Source organism: Homo sapiens, chromosome 18, assembly GCF_000001405.40.
Source record: "Homo sapiens chromosome 18, GRCh38.p14 Primary Assembly".
Classification (NCBI taxonomy): domain Eukaryota; kingdom Metazoa; phylum Chordata; class Mammalia; order Primates; family Hominidae; genus Homo; species Homo sapiens.
Window position 1 is genome coordinate 32670388 of NC_000018.10, and position 25800 is coordinate 32696187.

General features: G+C 37.6%; 1 protein-coding gene and 1 long non-coding RNA gene across 2 annotated transcripts in view; one reads left to right on the top strand and one right to left on the bottom strand.

The window, feature by feature from the left end:
- Nucleotides 1–2285: 2285 nt before the first annotated feature.
- The window catches only part of KLHL14 (kelch like family member 14), a 100351-nt gene continuing 76836 nt past the window's right edge, over nt 2286–25800 (bottom strand). Inside the window, exons 4-9 of the mRNA NM_020805.3 lie at nt 25076–25165; nt 16768–16846; nt 10022–10212; nt 9782–9940; nt 6786–6943; nt 2286–4410 (exon numbers count right to left, since the gene is read on the bottom strand). Coding sequence (NP_065856.1) covers nt 4270–4410; nt 6786–6943; nt 9782–9940; nt 10022–10212; nt 16768–16846; nt 25076–25165 — 818 coding nt within the window. The 3' untranslated portion in view covers nt 2286–4269. The remainder of the gene's footprint in view (nt 4411–6785; nt 6944–9781; nt 9941–10021; nt 10213–16767; nt 16847–25075; nt 25166–25800) is intronic.
- LOC112268208 (uncharacterized) overlaps nt 14542–25800 on the top strand; it is a 53523-nt gene continuing 42264 nt past the window's right edge. Inside the window, exons 1-2 of the long non-coding RNA XR_002958196.2 lie at nt 14542–14609; nt 18354–18492. This is a non-coding gene — a long non-coding RNA (uncharacterized LOC112268208). The remainder of the gene's footprint in view (nt 14610–18353; nt 18493–25800) is intronic.

The following is a 25800-nucleotide window of genomic DNA, read 5'->3' on the forward strand; positions in this document are numbered from 1 at the left end:
CTTTATCTGAAGTGATATAATTCTTCTGTGCTTGAGGAGTGGACAGTCCCACGCATTAATTTACTTCATTGTCTTGTCTTTAGCATCATTAGTGAACTAAAATACACTAAAATAATACTACTGCTGCTAATGTTAACAATTAACGTTTACTGGGTCCTTAATATATGCTAGGCAACAACCTAGAATAGAATAAGCCACTCAAGCTTCAATTTATAGAAAAATTTTTCTTATTCTAAACTTTTGTGTTGCATTCTTGAAGCACATTTTTACTATGCATATCTAAACATGCACTTTTTGTTATTGCACCAAGCCTATAGAGTCAACAAATGTAGAATACCTTTGCTATGGCCTGAATGTTTGTCCCCTCCAAAACTCATATTAAAGTTTAATTGCCATTGTAACAATATTAAGAGGTGAGGTCTTTCAGAGGTGTTTAGGTCACAGGGGCTCACCTTCATGGGTGGAATTGGTGCCACTATAAAAGGGCACATTGGGCCTCCCTTGTCTCTCTCACTTTCTTGGTTTCCACCATGGGATGACACAGTAAGAAGGCCCTGGCCAGATGGCAGAAAGTTGGTGTTGGACTTTTCAGCCTTCAGAATTGTGCACCAGTAAATTATGCTCATTATAAGTTACCCACTTTCAGGTATTCTGTTCTACCATCACAAAATGGACTAAGATAACCTCCATAAAGACACACCACCCTATATTTGGTGTATATTTATTCTACAATTCAGAGCAGCACTATATAGCTACAGCGACACAAAGCAAATATACTATGTATTTGAATATTTTATTCCTACATTGACCCTTCTGCTGCTTCTTATTGGCATAATATTTTCCACTAAAGTTTTAATATCCTCAAGGTTAGGTGCTTCTAGAAAGTCAGGCATGATCAGTCATGATCGGTCCTTTCTGTGAGAACTCAGTCTATCAAGGTACTCATCAATGTGTATTAGTTGGCTTTGGTGTGCTTTACTACTCTTGTTTTAGCTTATTTATTTGTTTTTAAAAACTATTTTGACCTAAAGAATTAAGTTTAATCAGAAGTCAGGCATTTATAATGATGCTCTTTGGGATATTCAATGAATACTTGATACTTACCATGTTGATAATGATGATAGTTTGTTAAGTGATATAAGTGTCAAGCAGCTGGGAAAATATGACTTTGGCTGAATAGGGTAGAACAAATGCAGACACTAATTTCAAGCTCACAGACACAGCTTAATTAATTTTAAAAATCTGGTCTGTATATGCATTCTTCCAGTTTTAGTCAGTTTTAAGATGTATTCTTAGAAAAAATATCTTTTTTTGTCCCCTCAGTATATTTCCACTTTACCCAAAATTCCTTCAAGTATTAACTAACTAAATATAAAACATGAAAGTACAGTCTAGCGAGGGACATCAAGTAGGTGGCTTATTGGGATTAGGAAAAAGATAAGCATGCCTTCTTAACATCTCATGATATTTAGTCAGCACTGGAGCCTTGGGTATTTCAGGGGATTTGGAGAAGCCCTTCAGCAACTAGCCATTGGCTCAGGAGAAGGGTCTTCTTTCAGTGTGCTACTCTAGTATGTGGAGGAGAAGATCCAATGGAAGGAGAAAGAAACTCCATTACTCTTTCTTGTGGAATATTAGGGAGAATCAAAATATCCTCTAATTTTGAGTTTAATCATCACTAATGATAGATTTGGCTGGGAAGCATTAAAGTAAATTCCCCCCAGCTTACAGGCTTCCGAACGTAGCTCCTGATCTTACACAGCTCTTTGCCTGGAAGGCTGCCCAACTGCTACCCTTAACTGCAAGCCTTAGTTCCCCCTATGTCTCCCATAGCCCCTCTAATTGCCCTGTACAACTACTTCATCAGATCTTCAAAAGAGAATAAAATTAAATACTATGTATTTGATAATTGATTTAATTAAATGTGTGACTCACTTATTCTTTAAAAAGGGTGCAGTTATTTTTAACACAAATGGTGCTTCTAATAATGTGTATAAATATTTAGTTATTTGATCTCAGATAAGTTATGTCTTATTATAACACTCTTGTAGTGAAAACATCAGATTCCACTCATATGATTTTTAACTCACAGCATTTTCCAGAAGTATTCCATAATTTTAGCACTGTCCATACTGTATACATTTACATATTGTGAGAAAGCCAAATAACACTTGTAAATCACAGCTTCAGAACAAAAATATTTAGGCATTTACATATCACAAACCTTCAAACGGTTTAATGTAGAGATTTATACATATGTAAGTAGGATATGAGAGACAGTTGAATTAGTACATAAAGTTTTTATTTAAAGTTTTCCCCTTCCAAGCAAGCTTCATTTACACATTCTAATACTGTACAAAATTTACATTCTCTGTGACTTATTTATTCACTTTTCACTTTCTAGTAACTTATGTCTCTCTGAAATACAGAAAGCTTTACTTATAATTCTCATAAATGCTTTTATTTTGGTGAGAAATAAAAAATAAAATGCAGAACAAGTCTAAGGAAAGCAAAGGTTCTTGTACAAATTGTGACTTTTGGAAGAAACAGTGACAGTTGACAACAAAAGGTTCTGAAGCAGACCTCATTCTATTCATGATGTCAGCTGAGATTTTCCCACAGAGTACTGTAACTTTTCTTTCTATATACTCATATGTTTTAAGGAAAAAGAAATGACAGTTGATTGCACTGGATATACATATATTTATATATATATATTTTTACAACGGATCCTTTGGATCTGAACATACAAATAAATACAAAAACAACGAAGATTGCACTTTACTGTAGAAACGGCATCGGATTCCAGTATACCCATTTATCTTGACGTGCTCTGCCATGAAAGCTTATCACTAAGGCATTTTTCATCTGTGGGATTTCCCTAATTACTGTTTTGAATGACACATTTGTTGAAGGATTCAACACCATCTCTGGATGGTTAAAATATATTTTAGGCTTTTATTTACTCCTAAAGTTGTTGTTCAAGCTCTGGAGGGCTTGAAAATCGAATGTGCATTCCTGTCAGTTTTGTCCTTTTGGTTGGCCACATTGAGACTATCTCATGCTATCCTGACCTTCTGCTCCTGAATTCCTCATGCTCCTCAAGACAACTAGCAATTGCTCGCTTAACTGAGTTCAGGCATCTCTGGTGATAACAAACAAAATATGATGAATTGGGGGAATAACGATCGTAAGTCAAGTGTCTAGAGGCACCCGAAGGTGAGGAAGAGGAGAAGTATTCTGTCAGGTGCTATAATTGGCTCCTGTGGCTCTTGTAAGTTCTGTGTTTTAGAAACAGAAAGACAACTGGAATTCTACTTAATGGAAATTATTCTTTCTTTTCATCCCTGAATTCCTGAAAACAATCTCCCATTTTTTTTTATTATGGATTAAATTTGGGTCAGACATATCATCTAACAGAATCTCTAAAATAGTATTGACTGAATTTGTCAATCCTGTCTTTTGAAGTAAATAACATGTGTGTTCACTACTTATATATCACAAAATATGAAAAAGCACAAACCTCCATGAACTGAATAGTGACATAATATATTTTGTTTTAATCTTTCAGATAAAATTGAGGACACAGAAATGACGACTCTGTCTAGCCTAGAACCTATAGGGTAGAAAGCATTTATTACAAGAGCCAACATCTTTCTCTTTTCTGATCCCATGAGGTGCTGTAAGGGCAGAAGGTGTATGAAATGAAGTTGTATAGAAACGAAAATGCCTCTCTTTAATCTTACATGATTTTCAATAACAGTGTTGCCAATGGAGTCTGTGAAGTAGCCAAAGGTTAAGAGTACAGAATCAAGTGGCAATTTCTGTAATGCAGTGTATTTTGGTGGCTCAAATTTGGAATCATTCTTGAACACAATATCCCCGAAATGTCAACATAGATCACATGCAGGTAGACTACAATGCACAATACTGATCTGAGGTCTCTCTGGGGCCAGTCTTCTGTATTTTATCTTTCTCCTTTTGCAAGTTAAGATTCACATGAAGAGTTTTTGTAAAGCTGGGATAAGTTAAAACCAGTCTGAAATGGAAGAGTCTGTCACCACAGGAAGTTTGGTGCGATCTGAGTTATAGACATAGTATCTGTTCAAGAACAGGTCTCTTTCTTTTGTAGTTACTTATAAATCATCAGAAACCAAGGGTGGGTTTTGGCAGTTGTACCATTAGAATGCATTGTTCCTATTATAATAGTGATGTCACCTGCCATTGCTTCCTAGAATGTGATACTGTTCATTCCAGAGTTTCCTGGTGTTATTTGTTGTATGGTACACAAGAGGGCAGAATAACTGTCACACAGGCAGGGCCTGCCAACGGTTCTGCTACATCTCCTTCGAGTTCTGTCCAGGTTCCTTTCTCTGGACAATAGCATATTGTAGATGACTTGTAGGCCCCCTGTAATGACAGAGGAGGGAGCATTTAGAGAAGGAAGCTAGAGAAGTGCAATGGCAATGTTACTGATCATATTTATTAATATATTGAAAAGAAAATATCTGTTCTCCATTCTTGCTAAATAATTCCAAATGAAAGCAATGGATTTTAAACTGTTCTATTCCAAAGAAAAAGCTAAGATTGACAAAATTTCAAAAAAAATTTTTTTGTGTGTGTGACTAATAATAAAAGTTAAATAAATACCTAGAGGATCCTAGATGCTCAACAAATCCTAAATTGGCTGGGCCCAGTGGCTCATACCTGTAATCACAGAGCTTTGGCAGCTAGGGCGAGAGGATCACTTGAGCCCAGGGGTTTGAGACCAGCCTGGGCAACATAGCAAGACCTCATCTTTACACACACACTAAAAAAGATAAAAACAAATTGGGCATGATAGTGCACATCTGTAGTCCCAGCTGCTTGGGAGGCTAGGACAGGAGGATCGTGGTTACAATGAGCTCTGATCATGCCACTGTACTCCAGCCTAGACAACAGAGTAAGATCTTGGCTTAAAGAAAGAAATACATACATAAAAATAATATACCAAAAATAGAAGTTATCCAGCTGGTTTAAGTTAAAAAAGAAAAGAGAACAAATTTACCTTAAACATTCAAATAGTTAAGACAATTATATTTCAGATTGTTGTCTCACTTCTCCATTTTAATTTTGCTACTGTGAAGAATCAGAGCTAGGATTGAAAACCAGTTCAAAGTAAACTGGAAATGAAAGTTTGTCAACTTTCTCATATATTGATTTATTTATTTTCAAGAGGCCACATGAGAAATAAAATGTCCTTAATCTTGTTTTCTTTGTCAACTTTAGAGGCTAGTGCTTGTGTAACCTTTTCCTCCCCAAACCAAGGCAGCTTTGTGTTTATCATAGGAAAAAAACGAAAGACCCAACCAACCTAATAATTATTTTTCTAAAAATGCCCCAATGTCTGCTTCCAAACAAATACATTCTTGCAGCTAACAATTTGTACAAGCAAACAAGTGCACATATGAATATCTAGTTATATATGTCAATACATATTTGCCTATATAACTAATAATGTTTTAAAGCTCCCCAAAACTTTATGTCACAATCTTGTTAGAGGCAAAAGAAATAAAACCAAATAATATTATTAAAACCACCAAATTAATCTTACAAAACTAACACAGGTAATCAGGAAAATATAAAAATGTTCATCATTTTAAAAGTGAATATGTAATCTGCTAGACCCAATGTGTCTCCTGATGTACTGTAATTTGAACTACAAAGCCACCTTCGCAGGTGTTTTTGCTAAGAAAGAAAAAAGAAGTTAACGAAAGAAATAAATAAAGGAAAAAGAAAGAAGCTGAATTTAATTATGCCCTTATCTCTAACTTCCAGTCTCCAGAAAATATGCAGATGGAGGACTATTTCAAATGACTCCACAAGGAAGTCATTAGCCAATTTCAGAATGTAGGGTATTCTGTATAACTGAACCTCTTTTGTCAAGGAGTCAATGGCATGAAACAAAAAGAGTCAGGGTAATGTTCTAGATTGCAAGAGATATATGAGACATAATGATGAAATATAAGAAAGACTTGTTGGGTCCTGATTTGGATATGTCAATTTGAAAAATACATCTTTTTTAAAAGTCAATGGCAAATATTTGAATATAAAAATGGATATAAAGGAATTATTGTTAATTTTTTGGAGTGTGAGTGTATTTACGTAAGTTAATGATTTTTAAAAGGTAAATACTGAAGCATTTAGGGTGAAATGATATGACATCTGGGATCTACTTCATATTGCCTGAGCCAAAGATTTTAAAAGTGGGGATAGATGAAGTGTGGCAAAATGTTGATGGATGTTGAAGCTGAATGATGGGTTAATGAAGTCCCATTCTAATCTCGATTTTTGTGTATGTTTAGAAAATTTCACGATAAAGAGGGAAAATAAGGGGAAAAATCAATGGCAAATCACACATCCTAAATAGATTTCATGAATATTGGAGAATGAATTTCCATTTTTCATGCCTTACCGGTCAGAAACCTTTCAGACTCTCTTACTGAACTGCAGAACATTTGTAAAATCACCTCAGTTTGACTTTCAGTTGGGAAGCCAGAATCACAAGGTCATAGAGACAGGAGAGAAGGGAGACCTACTGCACCTTGTGATGCTGTTGATCAGCTAGCAAGCCAGTTCAACAGCCACCAGGCTGATCCTATTTTACTATCTAAAGCAACTGACTGCTTGCATGTAAGTATGATACTCTTAAAAGGTACATGTGTGGAGGATAACACATTTGGAAGGATACAGAAAACGTAAGCACAAACGAAATAAAGGAGGATGCAGTAAATGTGGACACATACCATACTCCAGCTGTAGCCTCCCACAAGGTAAATGCTGTCATCAAGCACTGCACAGCCAGGGCCACTTCGACCCTCCAAAATGGGAGTTTGGAGTATATTCCACTGGTCACCTTTTGGGTCATAGCATTCCACAAGCATTACATCAAGGTGGGAGAAACCTAAGTGACAGAACAAAGTGGAACAACAAAATGATAAATGCTCAGGGTCCCAATTTAAGGCTAGGGCTTCTTTTAAAAACAAGTCTCAAGCCAAAATAGATAATTATGTTTTTGAAGACACAAATGCATAAATTCACTGAGATTGGGAGAAATGTCAGAAAGACCTAGAAAACCCCAAAGAAACTCTAGTTGTTTTAGATTACTTCAAAGCAAGAATGCCTGAGCAGATGTCATTAGCAAAGGTTGATTATATGTGGATAGATCTTATTAAAATGGTTTATTAAAACCTTATTTAAAAATGTTTAAAATAATAGTTTAAGCAAGCATTGTACAAGGCACTTACAATATGCTAGTTTTCTTTTCTAAGGGCTTTATTTAAATGAACTCATTCAATCCCTTCCATCACTCTATGAGATAGTCCCTGTCCTCACTTTCATTTTATAGATAAGGGAACTGAGAGACAGAGAAAGTCAATTACTTGAGTAAGTCACAAGTCAGTAAGTAGATAGGTTGAGATTTGAATCCAGGAGAGGCTTCAGAACTCAGACTCTTGCAGACTAAATTGTATTGCTTTTTCTCAAATGAATATTTAACTCTCTCAGAATGTTTTAATAGATTAAAAATATGTTGTTCAGCATCTTTTACCTTTTCCACAATTTGACTATGTTTATAAACAACTCTGATGATGTAAATCGTTTCTAGTATTTACCAAGAATCAAGGTTTAGAGTAGAAGGCTGAGTAACTTTCACTGAAGAGCTTCTCCTACAGCTTCTGATAGGGTTCTTGGTGTCTGGGGCACTACCTAGGTCACTGAGAACAACTTAAGTTCCTGGTCTCTACTGGAGCCCTGCCTTTAATTTAGAGGGTGAGAAACACCTAGTGGGAGCTTCGTGCTCACCAAGCAGGTCAAACCCTTAATGTTTTTATCTATTTTTCCCGTAGTTAAATGCAGGCTATGGATATTTGCTAGCTGACAATCTCAGTGTGTATTCTAAAGTAACCAACATACTGGATTCTTTAAAATAATTGAGAAGATGAATAAAAAGGTGGAGAAATTTTTGTTCTTGAAGAGGTAGACAGGTTATTTCGGTTACTAACTTCCTACAGAAAATAAATCCCATAGATGGTGGAACAACAGAACAATGTACTCACTGCAACACCAGAGTATATTCCTTTCCTTTACCATTAATATTATTGATTATAATTTTTGAAGCATATACACTTAGAATGAGCACTTGGGCAAATTCCAGGTTCTGACCTTGGAGGCATCATTTGAAGATATATGTGCCTTCTCTGTGACAATGTTATACATGGGAACTGTAATCCTCACAGAAACCATCAAGGCAAGGATAATTATCCTTCCTTTACAGACATGAGGTTAAGTGTCTTGAGTGAGACCACACAACTAGAAAGTGCATAACTAGAATCAAACCTAGGCTTAGATACAATGTCTATATCCTCTCCTCACCATGATGCCTCCTTGAGCTAACCCAGTTTTGATGTGTGCACACTATTTCTCATTTAGATTGTCATTACCTGAGTCTTTCTGTCCAAACCTAACCTTAAATGTTAGAAGATCCTAGAGCATTTAGACAATATCTTGTGCAAAAGAAATGCAAAGAAATCACATTTTAACATAGAAGGATACAAAGTTAATACAAAACATGTCGACGTAAAGGAATGGTGTGTGGCTTGAAATGAAAGAGCACCGTTGAAAGAGATAAAGAATAAAAAGGTAAGCATCACAGTAGTAAAGAAAATCCGTTCTCATTGGGGAGAGCACTTAAGCTGAGCAGCAGACATGCACTAGGCTACTGGCATTTCTGAACATGAACTTGACGAATGAACATGAACTTGGAACTATCTACATAAAAATTACACCTGTTCAGGCTTTATTTCATCTACAGGTAAATATGTATTAGGAAAATAGAAAAAACATCTAGATCTAAACCATTTAAAAAGATGTATATACTATTAAAAAATAAATGCACACATGTGCGTTATCTACCATACTTAGATAGCCTGTTTCCCATTTAGCTCAATTTCAGCGATCATAGACTAGGAGAGCTGAAGGAGATTTTAGAGATCATAGAGCAGTTTCTTCATCTTCAGATGAGGAAACTGAGGCCCAAAGCAGTTCAATAATGTTCTCGATATCATAGGTCTCTCTGGTATCACATTCAGTGTTACATGCATGCACATAATGTTATATATGTGCACATACACTACAAAAAGTTGCAGTCGTATACATATCTAGGGAAGGAAAGCTGCCAAAACATGTCTCTAAAAATGCTATGCTTTAAGTTTTTTATTGAAAAAAAGCAACAGAATTTGATAATCATAAGTGGCTTGCTATTGAATTCTTAAAAAAATTCTAAATTTAGACACAAATATCTGGTAAATATTACCTTTAAAAAAATCACATATTAGCTTTGTGCACTTATGACTAAAGTTCCTTATGATTACAGCAGAAAACAATTTTCTGGAAAAAATTCATTACTACAACTTTGGTGATAAGAAATAATTTATTTCAGTGAATTCATTGTTACGACAAATTGTTTGTGTTCTTCAGTTATTAATGCTCCTGTTTCTTATTTTCTGTAGACATCATTATCCTTTTCTTTTATGTGTATGGTAACTTAAAAATAATCCTATCTGCAGCAAAGCCAAAATAAATGCTTGCTCAAGGGTACTGCCAATTTACACAGAGTAGATTTTATTAGGTCAACATGTTTTTTACTTGGTTAACTATGATTATCTAAGGAGAAACCCCCTTAGCGAGAAATATGAGGTGCAAATGTTATTGTGACTAAAAAACAAAACAACAAAAAAAAGACCTTTCAAATGATTTCCTCCAATTGCATACAAGCGATCATTCATTACAGCCAAAGTGTGAATTGCACGTTTTGTGTTCATATCTTGTTTTCGAGCCCAGACATCCATTACTGGGTCATAGCAATATAGCCATGGGACATATTCTCCATTGTGTACACCCCCTGTGAAATAAACATAGACATACAAGTCAAGAGAGTGCTTTGGAACTGAACTTTGTAACAGAAAGTGGAGGAATTACTTGCCTGAAATGTATATTTTCCCATTGTGCACTGCTCCCGCATGAGCCGCCAGAGGCTGTGGCAAAGAGGACACATAGCGCCATTCATTCGTTTCTAGGTTATAGCACTCCACGCTGGACAAGTAGCCAGTTTCATTCCTTCCACCAATTACGTATAAATGCTTGTCCAACCGACATGCATAGAAACTGGCTCTTCTACAATGAAAAGAACCCACAGTAAATCACAAGAGGAGCTGTGAAATGTTACCTTTCGAAATAAGATAAGCACCACACAGCTAGTCAGGGAAAGGGGTGCATTCTGCTTCAGAAAGGGTTGCAAATCTTTAAAAATTACACGTATACCTTATAATTCTGAGACCTTCTACAGTAATCATATGTATTGCCCTTCCTGGTTAATATTCTTGATATTAAAGTAATAGTAGAGGAGAAATTCACCAACTCTTTGTTTCAGCCCTTGTTATCTTGTTTTATACACTGTTAAGTGTTCATTAATATTTGGGATATTCGGTACCTTGTAAGGATATCGTAGCTCTGTAAGGCAAAGTGAAAAATGAGGTAGATAATGTAACAATAATAAATTATCTTGACATTCACTTTCTTTATGGTCCTTCAAGGGTCATTGTTCCCAATTTATAAGAGAACTACATCATCAAAAATTTTCTTCAATTATCACTTTTTTTACCCTTAGTACTACTACTGCAAATAGAATAACTTTTGTGAACTTCATATAATGTTCAAATTTTGCACTTATATAACCAGTTACAGGAATTTCATCTAAGTAGCCTTTTGTGTTGATTCTTAAAAGGCTATAAGATATTTTAAATCCCTTTTTAAGAGAGGCTTTTGACTATATTATCCCATTATGCCATCAAAGCAAAAGATACAAGCTGTGTTGGAAAGATTGTAGACAGAGAGACCAATCCTAAAATATGCCATAATTTAGGAGTGAGATTTGAAGACACTGAGGACCTGAATTAGAGTTTTAGTAGAAGAAATAGAAAGGGGTGATGCAAATGATATTTTAAAGGAAGAAGATGTAAAACTTGGCAAGTAATAAAATATGAGAGCTGAGGGAAAATAACATTCAAACAGCAGTCAAAAATTGGGAGTTAGGATGATTAGTTTGAAACTTGAAGCAAGCCTTTGACTCTTTGCTTCTTTTTTTCACTGATACTACTGGAATAATATACTTCACAAGGAAAACATGTGGTCCAATATTGAATAAGTGTAATTGTTAAGTGCCATGCCCCTCAGATAATATAGTTTATATTTAATGAATTAATGATCTCTATTAAAATAGATGCCGAGATTCTTGTTCAATGTCGATTGCAAGACAAGGAGTGCTACAGGTTTTTATCAAGTAAATGTATGTTGCTTGGAGATTTTCCAGGTTGTGTTTATGAAGTACCAAAACACTTAGGAGGTAGTATATAGCACGGTGATTAACGATTTGGCTTCTTGAGTAAGACTGCCTGGCTAGATGATGTACTAGGTGTGTGGCCTTTGACATGTCACCCAACCTCTCTCAGCCTCAGATTGCTCATCTGGAACATGGGGATGATAATGGTCTCTTTCTCACAGGGCTATTGGCAAATACATATAAGTGCTTGTCATAGTGTCCAGCATTTTGTTCATGTTCAGGAACTGTCAATTAATATTATCTGGATAAAAGGTTTTTAAAAATTGACCATGAAGATGTTTGCATTTAAACATTTCCTAATAATGTTTAAGTGGCAACTAAATAATATTTGTTTAGATAATTTGTTACCATATAGGCATGATATTTGTTATGGATGTTAATGTATTCAACTTTTGATAGTCCTGAAATTATCCCAATAGATATCATTGATAATTTTAGAGCAATATTTTAGTTATGTTTGCTTTTTCTAGATTTTCTTGATATATTTGAAGGAAATATGTGCCTTGGAAAATTCAGAAAGATAATGAAGAACAACAATAATGAAAACAGTGGCAGGGAGAAAAGTAGGAATAAAATAAAGAGAAGACGAGTCAGATTTCATAAAGTAAAGACTTAACCAGGTCCATGTCTTCTGTGGGGTCCGTGAGCCTCTGAAATTATAATAAAATGCTGTAGATAGATGTTTTTGCACATGTGCATTTTTTGGAGGAAGCTTTTTAATGTGATCATCAAAGGGATTTCTGATCTTTAAAAAATTGAGATTTTTCTGGTATGAGGGACTAAAAACTCATCTAAATATAAAATAAAATTTCAAAGCAGTTGCAAAATTAAGTGCCTGCAGATAAACTGATTCCTTCTATTTCCTCAACCAGGCTTCAGTTACTTTCTCATTGAATATGATAGGTCAAAGTTATTCTACTAGTACATTTACCTTTTCAAGTTAAAGTGTTTCATTGAAAAGACTGACACATATCTACAAAAATCCATCCTAAAGTAAAACATATTTTTTTTCCAACACTGACACTAAGGTAGGTCAGTACACTTCTTCCATGTGATTCTAGGGGCCTCTGAAACAATGCATTTTCTTATTTCACTAATGGGCCATCTTTAAAGAATTGGGACTATGTGGGTTATAAGCTGGTAATGGTGAGTTCTGTGCAGCATTAGTCTAGAAGAAAAGATGCCACTTAGTCACAACAAGTATGAAAACCTTCTATTTAACTGAGTATAGATTTTGAAGAATAAGAGGAAGATCTCCCTTTGGTGAACTCATTTTCTTGTCTAAAATTCAGTTTTTTTTCACTTTTTATGATCTGGTTCCTTCCTCACCGTGACACCTGGTCAGCCTGTCAGAACCTGCTCTCTTTTCTAGCCAAGGCGTTCTTCATGCGACACTTCGTGTGTACTCCTAGCTTTATCCACACAGTGTCACTGTTAGGATCTAAATGGGAAAAAATCAGCAGATTTCACTTCCTGATGACAAGTGCATTTTTAGGTAGAAATTCCAATAGTAAAGATTCTGAGTCTTTGACTTATTCCCTTGCATGACCAAAGTGAGAGTTCCTGAAATGCATTTTAGAAACCTGATTGTTAATGGTCTGCCAGCAACTGTGAACATTCACTGTAGGCTAAAATCTTCCCATACCAGGTCTCTCTTGACAATGCTCCCTGCCCCTCTTCGCCACATGAAGAACATATAAGGTTCAGGCTATTTTATTTTGGGGGGAAAGTAAGTTCAAGATTATTAAAGATTTCTTATTGGGATTACACTGTTTCTGTTTCAAATTGTTCATCTCTCCCTCCTTCAGCCTCCCCTGCCCCCACTGCCAGAAGCAATATTCAGTATTTGTGAGATAAGTTTTAAAAAGATTAATAATAATGCGTACAAATATACTTTACACTCTGCTTATTTTGCAGATCTTTACAAGTTCTTTCTGGCCCTTGGAGTTGTCAGTTTATATCCTAAAGCATGAGATTGGATTACTATATCCTTACCCTGCTTGAATTTTTGACTTTTGTCGTTGGATTAAAAACAATGGATATGTTAGAAAGAATATTGTCTCCCATTGTTTCTTGTAACACAAAATATTACTAGAAAAACAAAATATTTAAAATTTGATGCATTTTTGACATATTAAGTTCTTGTCTTTTATTTACTCTGTGAAATAGAGGCTTTGTTCTTAACGCTTCCCAAACTGCTTTTTCTTTTTCTATTTTTTTAGATTAGCTAGGGAGTAAGATCTCCATAAGAATAACACTTCAAACATCAACTTTTACTGAAAAAAAATTAAGTTACCAAAGCATTTCTACTGTTCCAAGTTTTTAATTTTTCCTCTCTTTACTGAAGAATTAAATTCTAAATCTGAGAGCAAAACAATTCATTGGCACTACATTTAAATTTATATTTTCATCTGTTCATTTCTGTCAGTAAATTCATAGCCAGCAGGCATGCAATTCATGAGCTGACTCATGGTTGAGTGAGTCTGAAGGCCATGTGCCCATTTCCCTGCTAAACTGGGAAGGTGTTCTGCACTTTTTCTCTATTCTTTTGGAAGGGTTGCCTAGGTAGGCTATCCTGGGACTCAATCTGTCAGCACTGAGTGGGAAAAGGCAAATCTTACAAATGCCCCGTCAATCTTGCAGCTCCATCTCTCCTATGGGCTGGTTGACCCAGGCAACAGTCTATAACTTAAAATGAAATTTTTCTGTCATTACCAAGCTTCCATTCAAAATAGCAAGTATAGCTCTGTAAGGGTAGGTTACCCCAGAGGTGGCTTACAATGTGTTTTCATTATTCTCAATTGGTTTGGTGATTTCTCAGCATAATAATTTTTCAGCAGTTTGGTAGCAGCATAGTGGAAGAGGGTAGGCGGGGAACTTCCGGTTTCATTCATGATCTACACAATGTAAAATTAACTAAATGTTTTAAGCAACTTTTCTGATCTGAAGAGTGTCTCATATATTTCTAGATTCTTTTTCCTCCTTTTTTAAACCACCAATTAATCTACACTGGTAACTGATTGTACTTGCTATTTTGAATGGAAACTGGGCAATGACAGAAAAATTTCATTTTAAGTTATGGATTGTTGCCTGGGTCAACCAGCCCATAGGAGAGATGGAGCTGCAAGATTGACGGGGCATTTGTGAGATCTGCCTTTTCCCACTCAGCGCTGTAAGGAGCTCTTTATTTGGTCTATCGAGTTGATTGTTCTAAATCTAAAAAAAAAACTTCTTTTACCAGGGACCTGACATGATATACCATAATGACTTAGAAAGAAACGTTAAACAGTCCATCCTGTCAACGGTGGCTGCCGGGCGCCGACAGACCATGGCAGGTCTTTTTATCAGGTCAATGAGCTGCTAAAAATTGTCTAAGTAGGACCCTGCCATGATAGGCCATAGTGCCTCAGAGGAAGTCATTACAGACTATCAAGTAAACAATACACATTTTCAAAAAAATTACTAATTAGGTTTTGCAGCAATACTTCCCATCCTTAGGGGCTCTACAGTGGGATAATTGACCACGACGTGAGTTATGCCTCCCAAGCCAAAGGCATGAAGGTTAATTATCACGGTGTACAGCCCCCAGCAAAGGGGACCATGGTGATGAGATGATGACATTTCAAACATGTATTGATAGTTGTTTTTTAAGTAAAACTTTTTGGAATAGTTTTGATTAAAGGGCAAAGTGATGCAGCTGTAATAACAGCAACCAGGAAGTAACCTCCAAAAGAGAGAAACAGGGTGCACTGGAGAAAGATACCAGGAAGCTTCGGATTCATTAAGTTTGTCAAGCTATTAATTGACTTAGAATTATTTCCTCAGGTACCTTTGAACTAGACATTCCTAAAACTGTCTGTGGTCCTTAATGTATCATGCCTCATCATTTTCAGTGTGTAGCTTTAGTTTTCTAAGGGAGTTTTAATATATTTACCAGTATATAGAGTAGAAAGTTAGATATTGAGTTTCATTAGAGCATAGATTCATGCTGTCTTGCTGCAATAAGTACATTTTTGAATAAATGGTATTGTATGAAAATTTTCTTTTAGCTTGGAATTTAGGATTAAGGATCCAATTTAATCTCAGGGTAATCTACTTAAATGTTATAAAAAGAGAGATATTCAGGTGAGAAGTCATGTAAGAAATAGAAAAGAGAAAGAATGCTGCTGCTGATTCCCTTTTTCTTTCTTTTTTTTTTTTTTTTTGAGATGGAGTCTTACTTTGTTGCCCAGGCTGGAGTGCAGTGGCGCAATCTAGGCTCACTGCAACCTCTGCCCTCTGAGTTTAAGCGATTCTCCTGCCTCAGCCTCCCAGGTAGCTGGGATTACAGGCGCTTGCCACTGTGCCCGGCTATTTTTTTTTTTTTTTTTTTTTTTTGTATTTTTTAGTAGAGACGGGGTTTCACCATCTTGGCCAGGTTGGTCATGAACTCCTGGCTTCGTGATCCACCCACCTCGGCCTCCCAAAGTGCATGCTGAAGAGGCAATAGTTTGCAGCTTACTGTCTATCACACTGGAGAATTTGCTCAAGAGGATGTCTAGATATTATTTGAAAAGAACCAAGTGTTCAAAATCTAGGCTGTGAATTTGCATGTGCAGATAAAGACATGGTGTCATGCCTGAGGAACAGCTAGGAGAGACAAAATATATGTAAATATAGTAGCCATCTTGTCCTTTGGTAGCCAGGAGACTTGGTCGAGATAACTACTCTGTATGCAAAAAAATGAGATGACACGTTGCAAGACTAATTTTTTTTAAAGCTAACAAATTACTTGTTCTTGAATGTATGGATTCAAAGACATTTGGGGAGGAAAATGTAAACAAGACAAAATTTACTATTGAGATGTTAAAGTTCAATATTTCATATCTAATTATCTAAATATCTAACATTTAAATATTGAATTTTAATATTGAATATTGAATTTAATATTAAATAATTTAATATTGAGTATTGAAATGTCTGTACCAAAATGCACATCATTGCAAGTATAGTATTTTATATTTCAATTTTAGGGTTTAAATATATTATCACCAAAAAGAGTGGTATAGCCAGAGAAATTGTAGCTCTATTTGCAAAATACCAATCAATATAATCAAGAAAGACAAGCCACACATTTTTTTTCTTCCTACATTAGGACAAATAATTGACTTATTTTTCTCTATTGAATTAACAAGGGAGGTCATGTAAACTGGCTAGGCCAAGTTTTCTATTTTGCCTCATATGTCTTTCATTGACTCTATTTAGCATTCCTTCTTACAAAAAACCACCTAGCACCCATGCCTCCTGTAAAGCCGTCACAAACGTTTCAGGTGCAAGAAATAAACACTTACCTTTCCTGCATGGGTGGAAGTTGAATCCAGCTATTAAATCGAGGATCATATCGGCTGACAAAATTTGTACTGTGTTTTCCTGTAAAAATGCATTCGAGACATTTAAAACTTAGATTCTTTTGTTGATTTGCACATGTAGTAGTGTTTTATCAGACGTCTCTATTCTCAGGTTTAACAAATAGATGAATTAAGTAGAGGGAATACCTAACACAGCACGGGCGATGAGTCAATAGAAAAATAAATGTGCCACCTCAAGTGTTTTTCCTCTTTCCTTCTCTTTCCTTTTTCTCTTTTTGCAATGAGTTAGGAAAAACTAAATCAACCACAATAATCAAAGCAACTACATTTACCAAACTGGCTTTTGTTACAGTGTTAGGATAAAAATATCTCAGGTGTTATTGGTGTTTTAATGTTTTAAACACAGTAAGTTATTGTCTGTAAATTATCAGTTCCAAAGACTACCTTGTATGATGGTATCTCTGGTTAGAGCCATTTAAAAAACAACAACAACAACAACAAAAACTTCTTACATCTTCTTTCTTTTCAGAAAAAATTATTTTAAAAGATAATATTTTTAGAGAAGTTTTAGGTTCACAGCCAAATGGAAGGAAAGGTATAGAGATTTCCCACGTGTCCCCAGCCCTCACATGTGCATGGCCTCTCTATTGGTGGGAGAGTCTGCTCTCTCTGTTCAAACAATAGCAGCCACTACAAAAAGAGCCTGACTGGGAAAGTTAGTTTTGTCCTATGCATATCAAGTAAGTTCTGTGTGTGTATTTGGGGGGAGCACAGTTGCTGTGACATATACACAGGTGTATTTGCTGAAATGGGAAATGTGAGTCCTCTGAGCTGCTTAACCAGCTTATCCTCTCTGTTGAGCTGAGAAGCATGGTAATGCCTCCAAGGTATTAAAATGAATCTTATTTTATATACATGTTAACATTAAAACAAGAAATGGAAGCAAAATAATATATTACATTCTCTGTAGCACCTGAGATGATAATCATCTAGAGGACTTGAAGCCTTAACTCTAAAAGTCTACCTTTATTTATATATGTGTAACTAAACATTGAGAGATGGGTACCAAATTCACTACAGGACTGAACAGATAGGGGTGTGTGGGTGTGTGTGCATGTGCTCACACAGACATGTCCACCCAACACAATTATTAACTGTACAAATATATATCAAGCACCTAGCACCTACTGTGTGTTTCATGTATTCTAGACTCTGGAAATATATTGGTATGCAAGAAAGATGTAGTCTGTATCCTTATAAATGAATAAACAAACATATAATATCAAGTAGCGATGAACGCTATTAAAAAATAAAGCCAAGAATGATAAAGGGGAGGCCAGTTTCAGTAGCATAGTCACCTGCTCACAGATGTCTTCTGCAAGCCATGCAAATATCTGCAGAATGAGCCTCTCAGGCAAGGGGGCAGGAAAGAATTAAGTCCTTGGGCTGGCAGTGAGTTCAAAAACAGCAAGAATGCTAGGGTAACTGGGCAGAGGTCAGAAAGGGGTCAAGGGCCAGAACATAGTGTGCCTTGTGGGCTGATGCAGGATTTTATATTTTGTTATAAGGACAATAGCAAGTCACTGGAGAGTTTTGAGCAAGTGAAAAACAGTCCAATCTATCATGCTGGCTGCTGTATAAAGAGTAGACTATAGGAGGGCCACTGTGGAAGAGGGGAACTGTCAGGAGGCCACTACAATCATCAAGGTAAGAGCTGTGGTGGCTTGAATGAAGGTGGAGGTGGTGAGAAATGGTTGAGTTTTAAATCTGTTGTGCAGGCATAGCCAAATAAAATTTCCTGAGGGCTTGAATATTGGTATGAGAAAAAATGAGTCATTAGGGATGGCTGCTAGGTTTTTAGCCTGAATAACTGAATGGAAGATTATGCAATTTGCTGAGGTGGGGAAGACCAAGGAGGAGTAGGTAAGGAGTTGGGAAGAGAAGTTATGAGCTCTGTTTTGGAATTAACCTGAGAGACCTATAGGATCTCAAACAGGAAGTGTCTGGTAGGCCACTGGCTAAGTGCGGCTATGGGTGCAAATTTTGGAGTCATTAGTCCAGAGTTATTATTTAAAAGCATAGGATTGAGTGAAATCATGTATGGAGAGTGTATGAAAATGAAAGACAATGGGTCCTCAGAGTGAGCCCTGGAATAGAAGAAGCAAAACCAACATAGGAAAAGAATGCTCAGAGATAGGGGGGAAAGGTGTGGTATTTTGGAAGCAAATAGTGTTTCAAAAGGAAGGGAAGTGAGCAACTGAGAAGTGACTATAGGATTTGGCAGCATGAAGGTTGCTGGTGGCCTCAACAAGAATTGCTTCAGTGAACCGGAGGGGATGAAAGCCTGAGTGCAGACTACTCAGGAGAGACTAAGATGTAAGAAAGTGGAGGTAAGAGGATAGGCACTGCTTCTTAGGACTTTTGCAATAGAAAGAAGATTATAGCTGGAGGATGCAGCATTGAAGGAAGGTTTGTTTGGTTGTTTTCAAAGTTCGGACACACTGGAAAGTCCTTGAGCAGGCAAGAAGGAATGAGGAACAGACTTTAGGATTGGGGCAGAAACAATAATGGGGGAAGACAGAATATATAAGTTGCAGTGGAAATAAGTGAATAGATTGGAGGCAACAAAATGAAGGGTTTATCTTCTGAGTGCTTCTATTGAACTAAAAAGGAAGGCCATCAACTGAGAGTGAGGATGGTGCCTTTGAAGAAGGAGGCATTTGAAAAGACTGAGGAATGAAGTAGTTACCTTGGAGGGTAGAAAGGCACATTGACCACAGAAATTTAGTGGAGCTGAATAGTAGCCAGCTTGGCTGTGTGGTTTTCTGTATCCACATTTAGCTACTCAGGGGCAGGGGAAGAGAGGGAAGAGAGTTAGGTTTAACCAGGACTAGTATTGCCAGGCAAATACAGAGGAAGGAGAGAGAGAACAAAAGGGCGGCAGGTTTATGAGGAGAGTGGTTATAGGGATGGGCCATAGAAGCTAAGCTCAGTAAAACGGGAAGTAAGGACACAAGGGGATGACAGACAGTGAAAAGGTGGCATTACCGGCAAAACAGTGGATTACTGCCACATAAAGAGGCAGCAAACGGTATCATCTGCAGATGTCCTTTAAAGTGCTTGGGGTTTTAAGGGATTGAGAATGGCAATAAAGACAAAACAGAAAAGCTGCTTGCCTCCAATAATATAAAGTATGTGGGGGAAGGAGATATACACTGGCTCCCGTTAGAAAGAGTGGCTGGGAAAGCAGTACTCTCAGAAGACAGCCAGGTTTTGGCTGGGCATGGTGGCTCATGCCTGTAATCCTAGCACTTTAGGAGGGCGAGGAGGGCAGATCTTTGAAGTCAGGAGTTCGAGACCAGCCTGGCCAACATGGTGAAACCCCAGCTCTACTAAAAATACAAAAATTAGCTGGGGATGGCGGTGGGCTCCTGTAATCCCAGCTACTTGGGAAGCTGGGGCAGGAGAATCACTTGAACCCAGAAGGCGGAGGTTGCAGTGAGCCAAGATCGCACCACTGCACTCCAGCCTGGGCAACAGAGTGAGACTCCACAAAAACAAAACAAAACAAAATAAAACAGCGCTAGGTTTTGATTAGAAAAGAAGTTGAAGGAACCATTCAGAGGAGAATTTAAGGATTATAGATATTTTGCTGATGTGAGATCATGAGTTATAGGAATCATGTGGGAAAGTTTGGATGGTTAGGTTGAGTAGTAAATTGAGTTTTATTTGGGGACATACAGGAAGAGATAAGAGTACGAGGGGGAAAGGAAGACTCAGAAGACTTGGATTTCACATAAGGAGGCTCCACCTCAAGAAAGAGTTGTCTAGAGCTGGTTAATAAGTGAGTTTTTGTGAAATCTGCAATCATTTCTGTGTAGAAAAAATCTCATCATTCTTACGTCAAGTTCCAAGGTTAATTCCCAAATTCAGCTGAAGATTAATGATATTCATAGGAAAGTAGAACCTACCCACCATATATAGGAATGTTTCTCTAGATGTTTGGTTTAGAATTTCCATTTGGAAGACGATATCTGCCTCCTCCTGGCAATGGGGCTGAGAGTGCCTTCATGTGCTGAGCATTGGTGGTAGAAACTAGCAATGTTCACTTCTTGTTGTAATGGTAGTGGCCTTGATTCAGAGAAGAGGCTAAGCAGAAACTGGTGTAACATGGATGTGAGATGAGAAAATGGTTTCCAGAGGCAGGGTCAATGATGCCAAAGAGTCTGGGTGTGGTGGCTCATGCCTGTAGTCCCAGCTACTCAGGAGGCTAAGGTGACAGGATTGCTCAAAGTCGGGAGTTCAAGGCAGCAGTAAGCTATGATTGCACCTTCCAGCCTGGATAACAGAGTGAGATCCTGTTCCCAGACCCCCCAAAGAAGATGCAAAAATAGGTCAAGAATGGAGGACTGGGAAGGTGAAAGGAAGGAAGGCGTTCTGGAGGTGGCAAAGGAGGTGCAGAGAGGATAATGAACCTCAGGAAGAATGAGTGTGGTAGAGTGAGGAAGGTGAGATGAAATGGGGTTATTCTCCTTCCTTGTGGCTACTATTGAGATGCTACCAGCAGCTTGAGAGTGGCAGCCATATGCTATGAAATTTTGGATTATCCTTCACACATTCTGTTTTTTCTCATCCTTTTCATTTTTTTTGTGATTTTCCTCCACTTTTCTTTTTTGTGCTGGTGCCCTGTCACCAGACACCATTGTTGCTTAGCACTTGGCTGATGTGATTATATGGGGCAAAGGGTGGCAGTTTCCAGCCAATGGGTAGAGGAGAAGGAGGTGGGAAGAAAAGAAGTTCCCTATGAGCAGTTGTTTTGGGAACCAGTTATCAGGAAGTGACAAATGTAAACTGGGTTTCCATAAGCTGGGGCACTGACAGAGTCTATGTATATCTATTAGAATATGATCATGCATTCCTATCACTAATGACATGAAGAGAGTTGATAGGAGTTAATAATTATATCTGAGTAGAAAACCTTATGTGTGTATTTTGATTATATTTCCAGTAACTAATATATTTGCTGACTTCAAACTGTGGTCATCAATAGATCATCAATAGATATAATTATATTTATTTCAATGAGTACATGTTTGTGTTTTATGAGCATGTATTGAAATTTGCAATTTTGTACTTCAAGGGCACACATCTCAGATACCATTTTCATAAGAACTAATGTTTAACTTAAGAAGATTTCATCTCTGGGACTGACATACATAACATCCGAACCCACGGATTTAAAAGCTTTCTCCCTGCCAGCAATGATATTAAAGCATGTTATATATTATCATAGGATTGCTCTCCTTTATATGTTTTAGTGTTAATTGCATGAGGTATTATAATACAAGACTCTCATATTTTAGAGATGGTTGAGTCTCTTCACAGTTTTTAAAATGAGGACTGATGAAGGAGTTCCTTGTGAGTGAGTGGGAGCCACTATCCATGTGATCAAATATTGATTTAATTTCACAAGATCAAAAGCAAAAGCATGACTGTTACACATCTAACCAAATACATATGTTTACGTGAAACACAGTGTATTACAGTGGCTAAAGATGACTGCTCTGAAATCAGATAGACCTAGGTTGAAATCAGCTCAGCTTCTTGTAAGCTATGTTTTCTGGCAAGTCATTTAACCTCTTCAGGCTTAGTCTTCTCATAGTAAAACTAGAGCTATCATGGAATGATTTGCAGGATGCTTGTGAGGACTAAGTGAAATGATGCAGTTGAGTGCTTAGCAAAGTTCCTGGCAATAAGGAGTACTCAATAAGTACTACTACTAATACTAACGAAGTCAACTATGGTTGACCAGATGGATGGAGTATAGAAACCATTCACGGGATTGTGGTGGGTGCTCTTGTTCATTAGCCCAGATTCCTTTACCAGACCGGTGCACCCATTCCCTGGCTGCTGAATGCTGGCTGCTCATGGTCACGGCGGCTCCTCCTGCTGAACAGGCCACCTCATTGCCTTCCCTCATCCCCCACCTGGGGGAAGGCTTTGGCCAATAACTGACATGAAGTGCAAAAGGCTGGCCTGCTTGCCGCAAGGTGTAACCAGTTCTCCTCTATTTAGGTGAGCCCAGCCCATGGTCCAGCCTCCTTTGCCCAGATCTATACTAAATGACCTCACGTGCCAAATGAGTCAGGGACACAATGACTCAGCCTTTCATGTGGAAGCTTCCAAAATTCTAAAAAGGGATCTTACACACACACACACACACACACACACACACACACACAGAGAGAGAGAGAGAGAGAGAGAGAGAGAGAGAGAGAGCACTCCCAGGCCTGTATTAAGGATAAAGGTAAAATTAAAATATAGTAATTAAAGTTATACTAAAATTTAATTCTGTGCATCCTAGTGGTTACAGCAAAGAAAAGAGACACAATAGTCACATCGTTAGCATTAATAATACTTTTCAAAAGCACACAATGCCTCAGTACTTTGGTCTAAAGAATTTATCCTCTGGGGCTTCATAGAGAGCCCATGAGTGGCCATGGTGAGAACCATCCCTATGGTAAATGCCGTTGTGTGCTGTTTCTAGTCATTTCTCACAGCATATTCACTGATGGCTTTAAACCCAACTGCTGTTCCTCTCAGGGCTGGGAAAGAGAAAATCAGTGTAATCCAACAGCATGATTTTATGGGAGTCTGAATTAGTTCAAAGATAAAATCTTGATTCTCTAGACTAGAGGAAGGAATATGTCCTTTCAACTCTCCCGTGTTCCCCCCACCCAATTCTCTCAGATGTGCCTTTGATTAGAAATTGAACAGCAAGTAGTTACAGGTGTTTTTTTGTTTTGTTTTGTTTTGTTTTGTTTTTTTGCATATGCCTCTGGAACAGGTTTTCTGTGTTGCTGCTTAAGATCTGACTTAAGACCTTAAGTCAGGGAGATTCACAGTGTTTTGTGAGAATGAATTGTGGCAACAAGACTGCTATTTTAACAGAGGTCTATTCTACCTGCAAAGTGCAGTAGGCTGAAGATGTTCCTGTTTTCTCTTGTCATGTTTTAGTTTTAACCTGGCCTTCAAAAAGAATGTTCTGCAGATTATTTGCTTAGATAAACCCAGTGGCTGCACACTATGTGTTTGCTTACAAATGCTCCTTCCAGTTCAAATCACATCTAAAGAAGGATAAGTTAAATAGTAAATGAGGAGTTTACAATGCATTGTGCGCATGTCAGGGTTTTCTGGTAACATACCGAATCCATCATTACAAAGGTAAGTTAGGGGAGAGATATGAAATATCATCCTTGCTCCTGTTCCAAGTTTCTCACAAAGCCCAGGAACCATCTTCTTTCCAACACTAGAAAATGTGGCACAACAAAGCTGCAGGTCTTGAGAAAGAATGTCCCTCTCTCTTAAAAGAAATGTTCTTGAAGGGTGGCCTGGATTGTTTTCCTTGAAGATTTTCTAGAGTGAACAGATGTAACAATTTTCTATAATTTGCCTTGGTGCAGATGCTGAAAGAGAGCACTCACAATAAAATATATGCAGTATATGTAATTTCAGCTGGATGTTCTGGGGTTTTAAAGTAAAAATGTGTACCTGCAAGCTGTTTTATGGTTTCTCAGTCACAATTATCTCTGTTACACAGAAGGCTACAACTGCAACTCCTCCTTCATGTGCAAGCTTTCCAAAAATATCTTGATAATTTTGCATGTTCTGCAAGCCACAGGGTTCTTGTGTTCGATTTGGGACGTGCGTTAAAATGTTTAATTTCTCTTTGCAATAAGTTTATGATGTAATCACATCTACGGGGAGGATGGTGGATAATCTATGGAAGAAGCACTTGCAAAAGGTACAGCAACTGGAATGGATGTTGAGTAATACCTGCTGCCAAATAATTTCAGCTAAAATTATGTGCGGCATGACTGGACATAATGCTTATGTATTGCAACCCACGTTATTATATTGATAAAATGGGAGAAAGGTGGTGGAGAAGATGGTGAGGATTCTTAACAGCTGCAGCTTTGCTCCCTTCCTCTAGGGAGTTTGTGCTCATGCTTGTGGCATTCCTCAGGGGATGGATAAGGAGAGGGGCTGGGGTATCACTGTGAAGCCAAATCCCCAGACAGTTGATGAGTGATCGCTCTGCTACACATGTCCCCAGTTAGCTCAATGATTGACCCTCTCTCCAATTGTCAGCCCCATCTCCTTACTACTTCATTTGTCCCCGTTGCACAGAAATGTATTTTCCACACTAATTACAAAATGGACTGCTACTGATGCCCTTCATTACACACATACTTGTTGAGCACCTCCAATTAAGTTGTTCAATAGTTACCATTCGGATTCCACTGGTCCTCTCCACCCAACACGAACAAGAAGTTTTCCACCTCCACAACGCAGTGGTGGGCACTGTTGTATGGCATAACTGAAATTAAGAAAAAAAAAAAAGACATATGAAATTTTCCATCTCAGGATTTGCTACCTTGGCTCACTGGCTATTTGTTTCACTGAAGTGCATAAAATGTGAGACTGAGTCAGAGGAAGAAGATTGAACAGGTGGCCAAGCCACTACTCACCAATCCAGGGATCCCTATGCAGTGACTCGGTGGTGTGTTCCCAGCGGTTTCAAACCCAACCCCTTTTGACTAATTTTACATAATGTGATTCCAGAAATTAGTCAAGAACAACCTGTCATGCTGCTTTCGATTCCTAGGTTCTCCTAGCCTGCCTGATGATGTGGATAGTGATCTGAATGACTGACACTCCTAAATGGTCAGGGCTGGGGTTACTTCTTGGAAGAAGTAACCCTGAATACACTTGGAGCCATTAAGATGCTCTGCCCAACGTGGTTTGCTGGCAATCTTTCCATAAACAGACTCAGGGTGCTTGGTCGCTTTCTATTCCACAGCAATGAACAAGCTGAATTTCCATACAGTTTTAAGTTTTTAAATTAAGGTCCTGCTGATTTAATGCCTCCTCCAAATGTATACGCTTAATATCCTGTACAATGTCATTAGCAGCACAATCGCACATTCTCTATCTATCTGCTTAGGAGCTCTT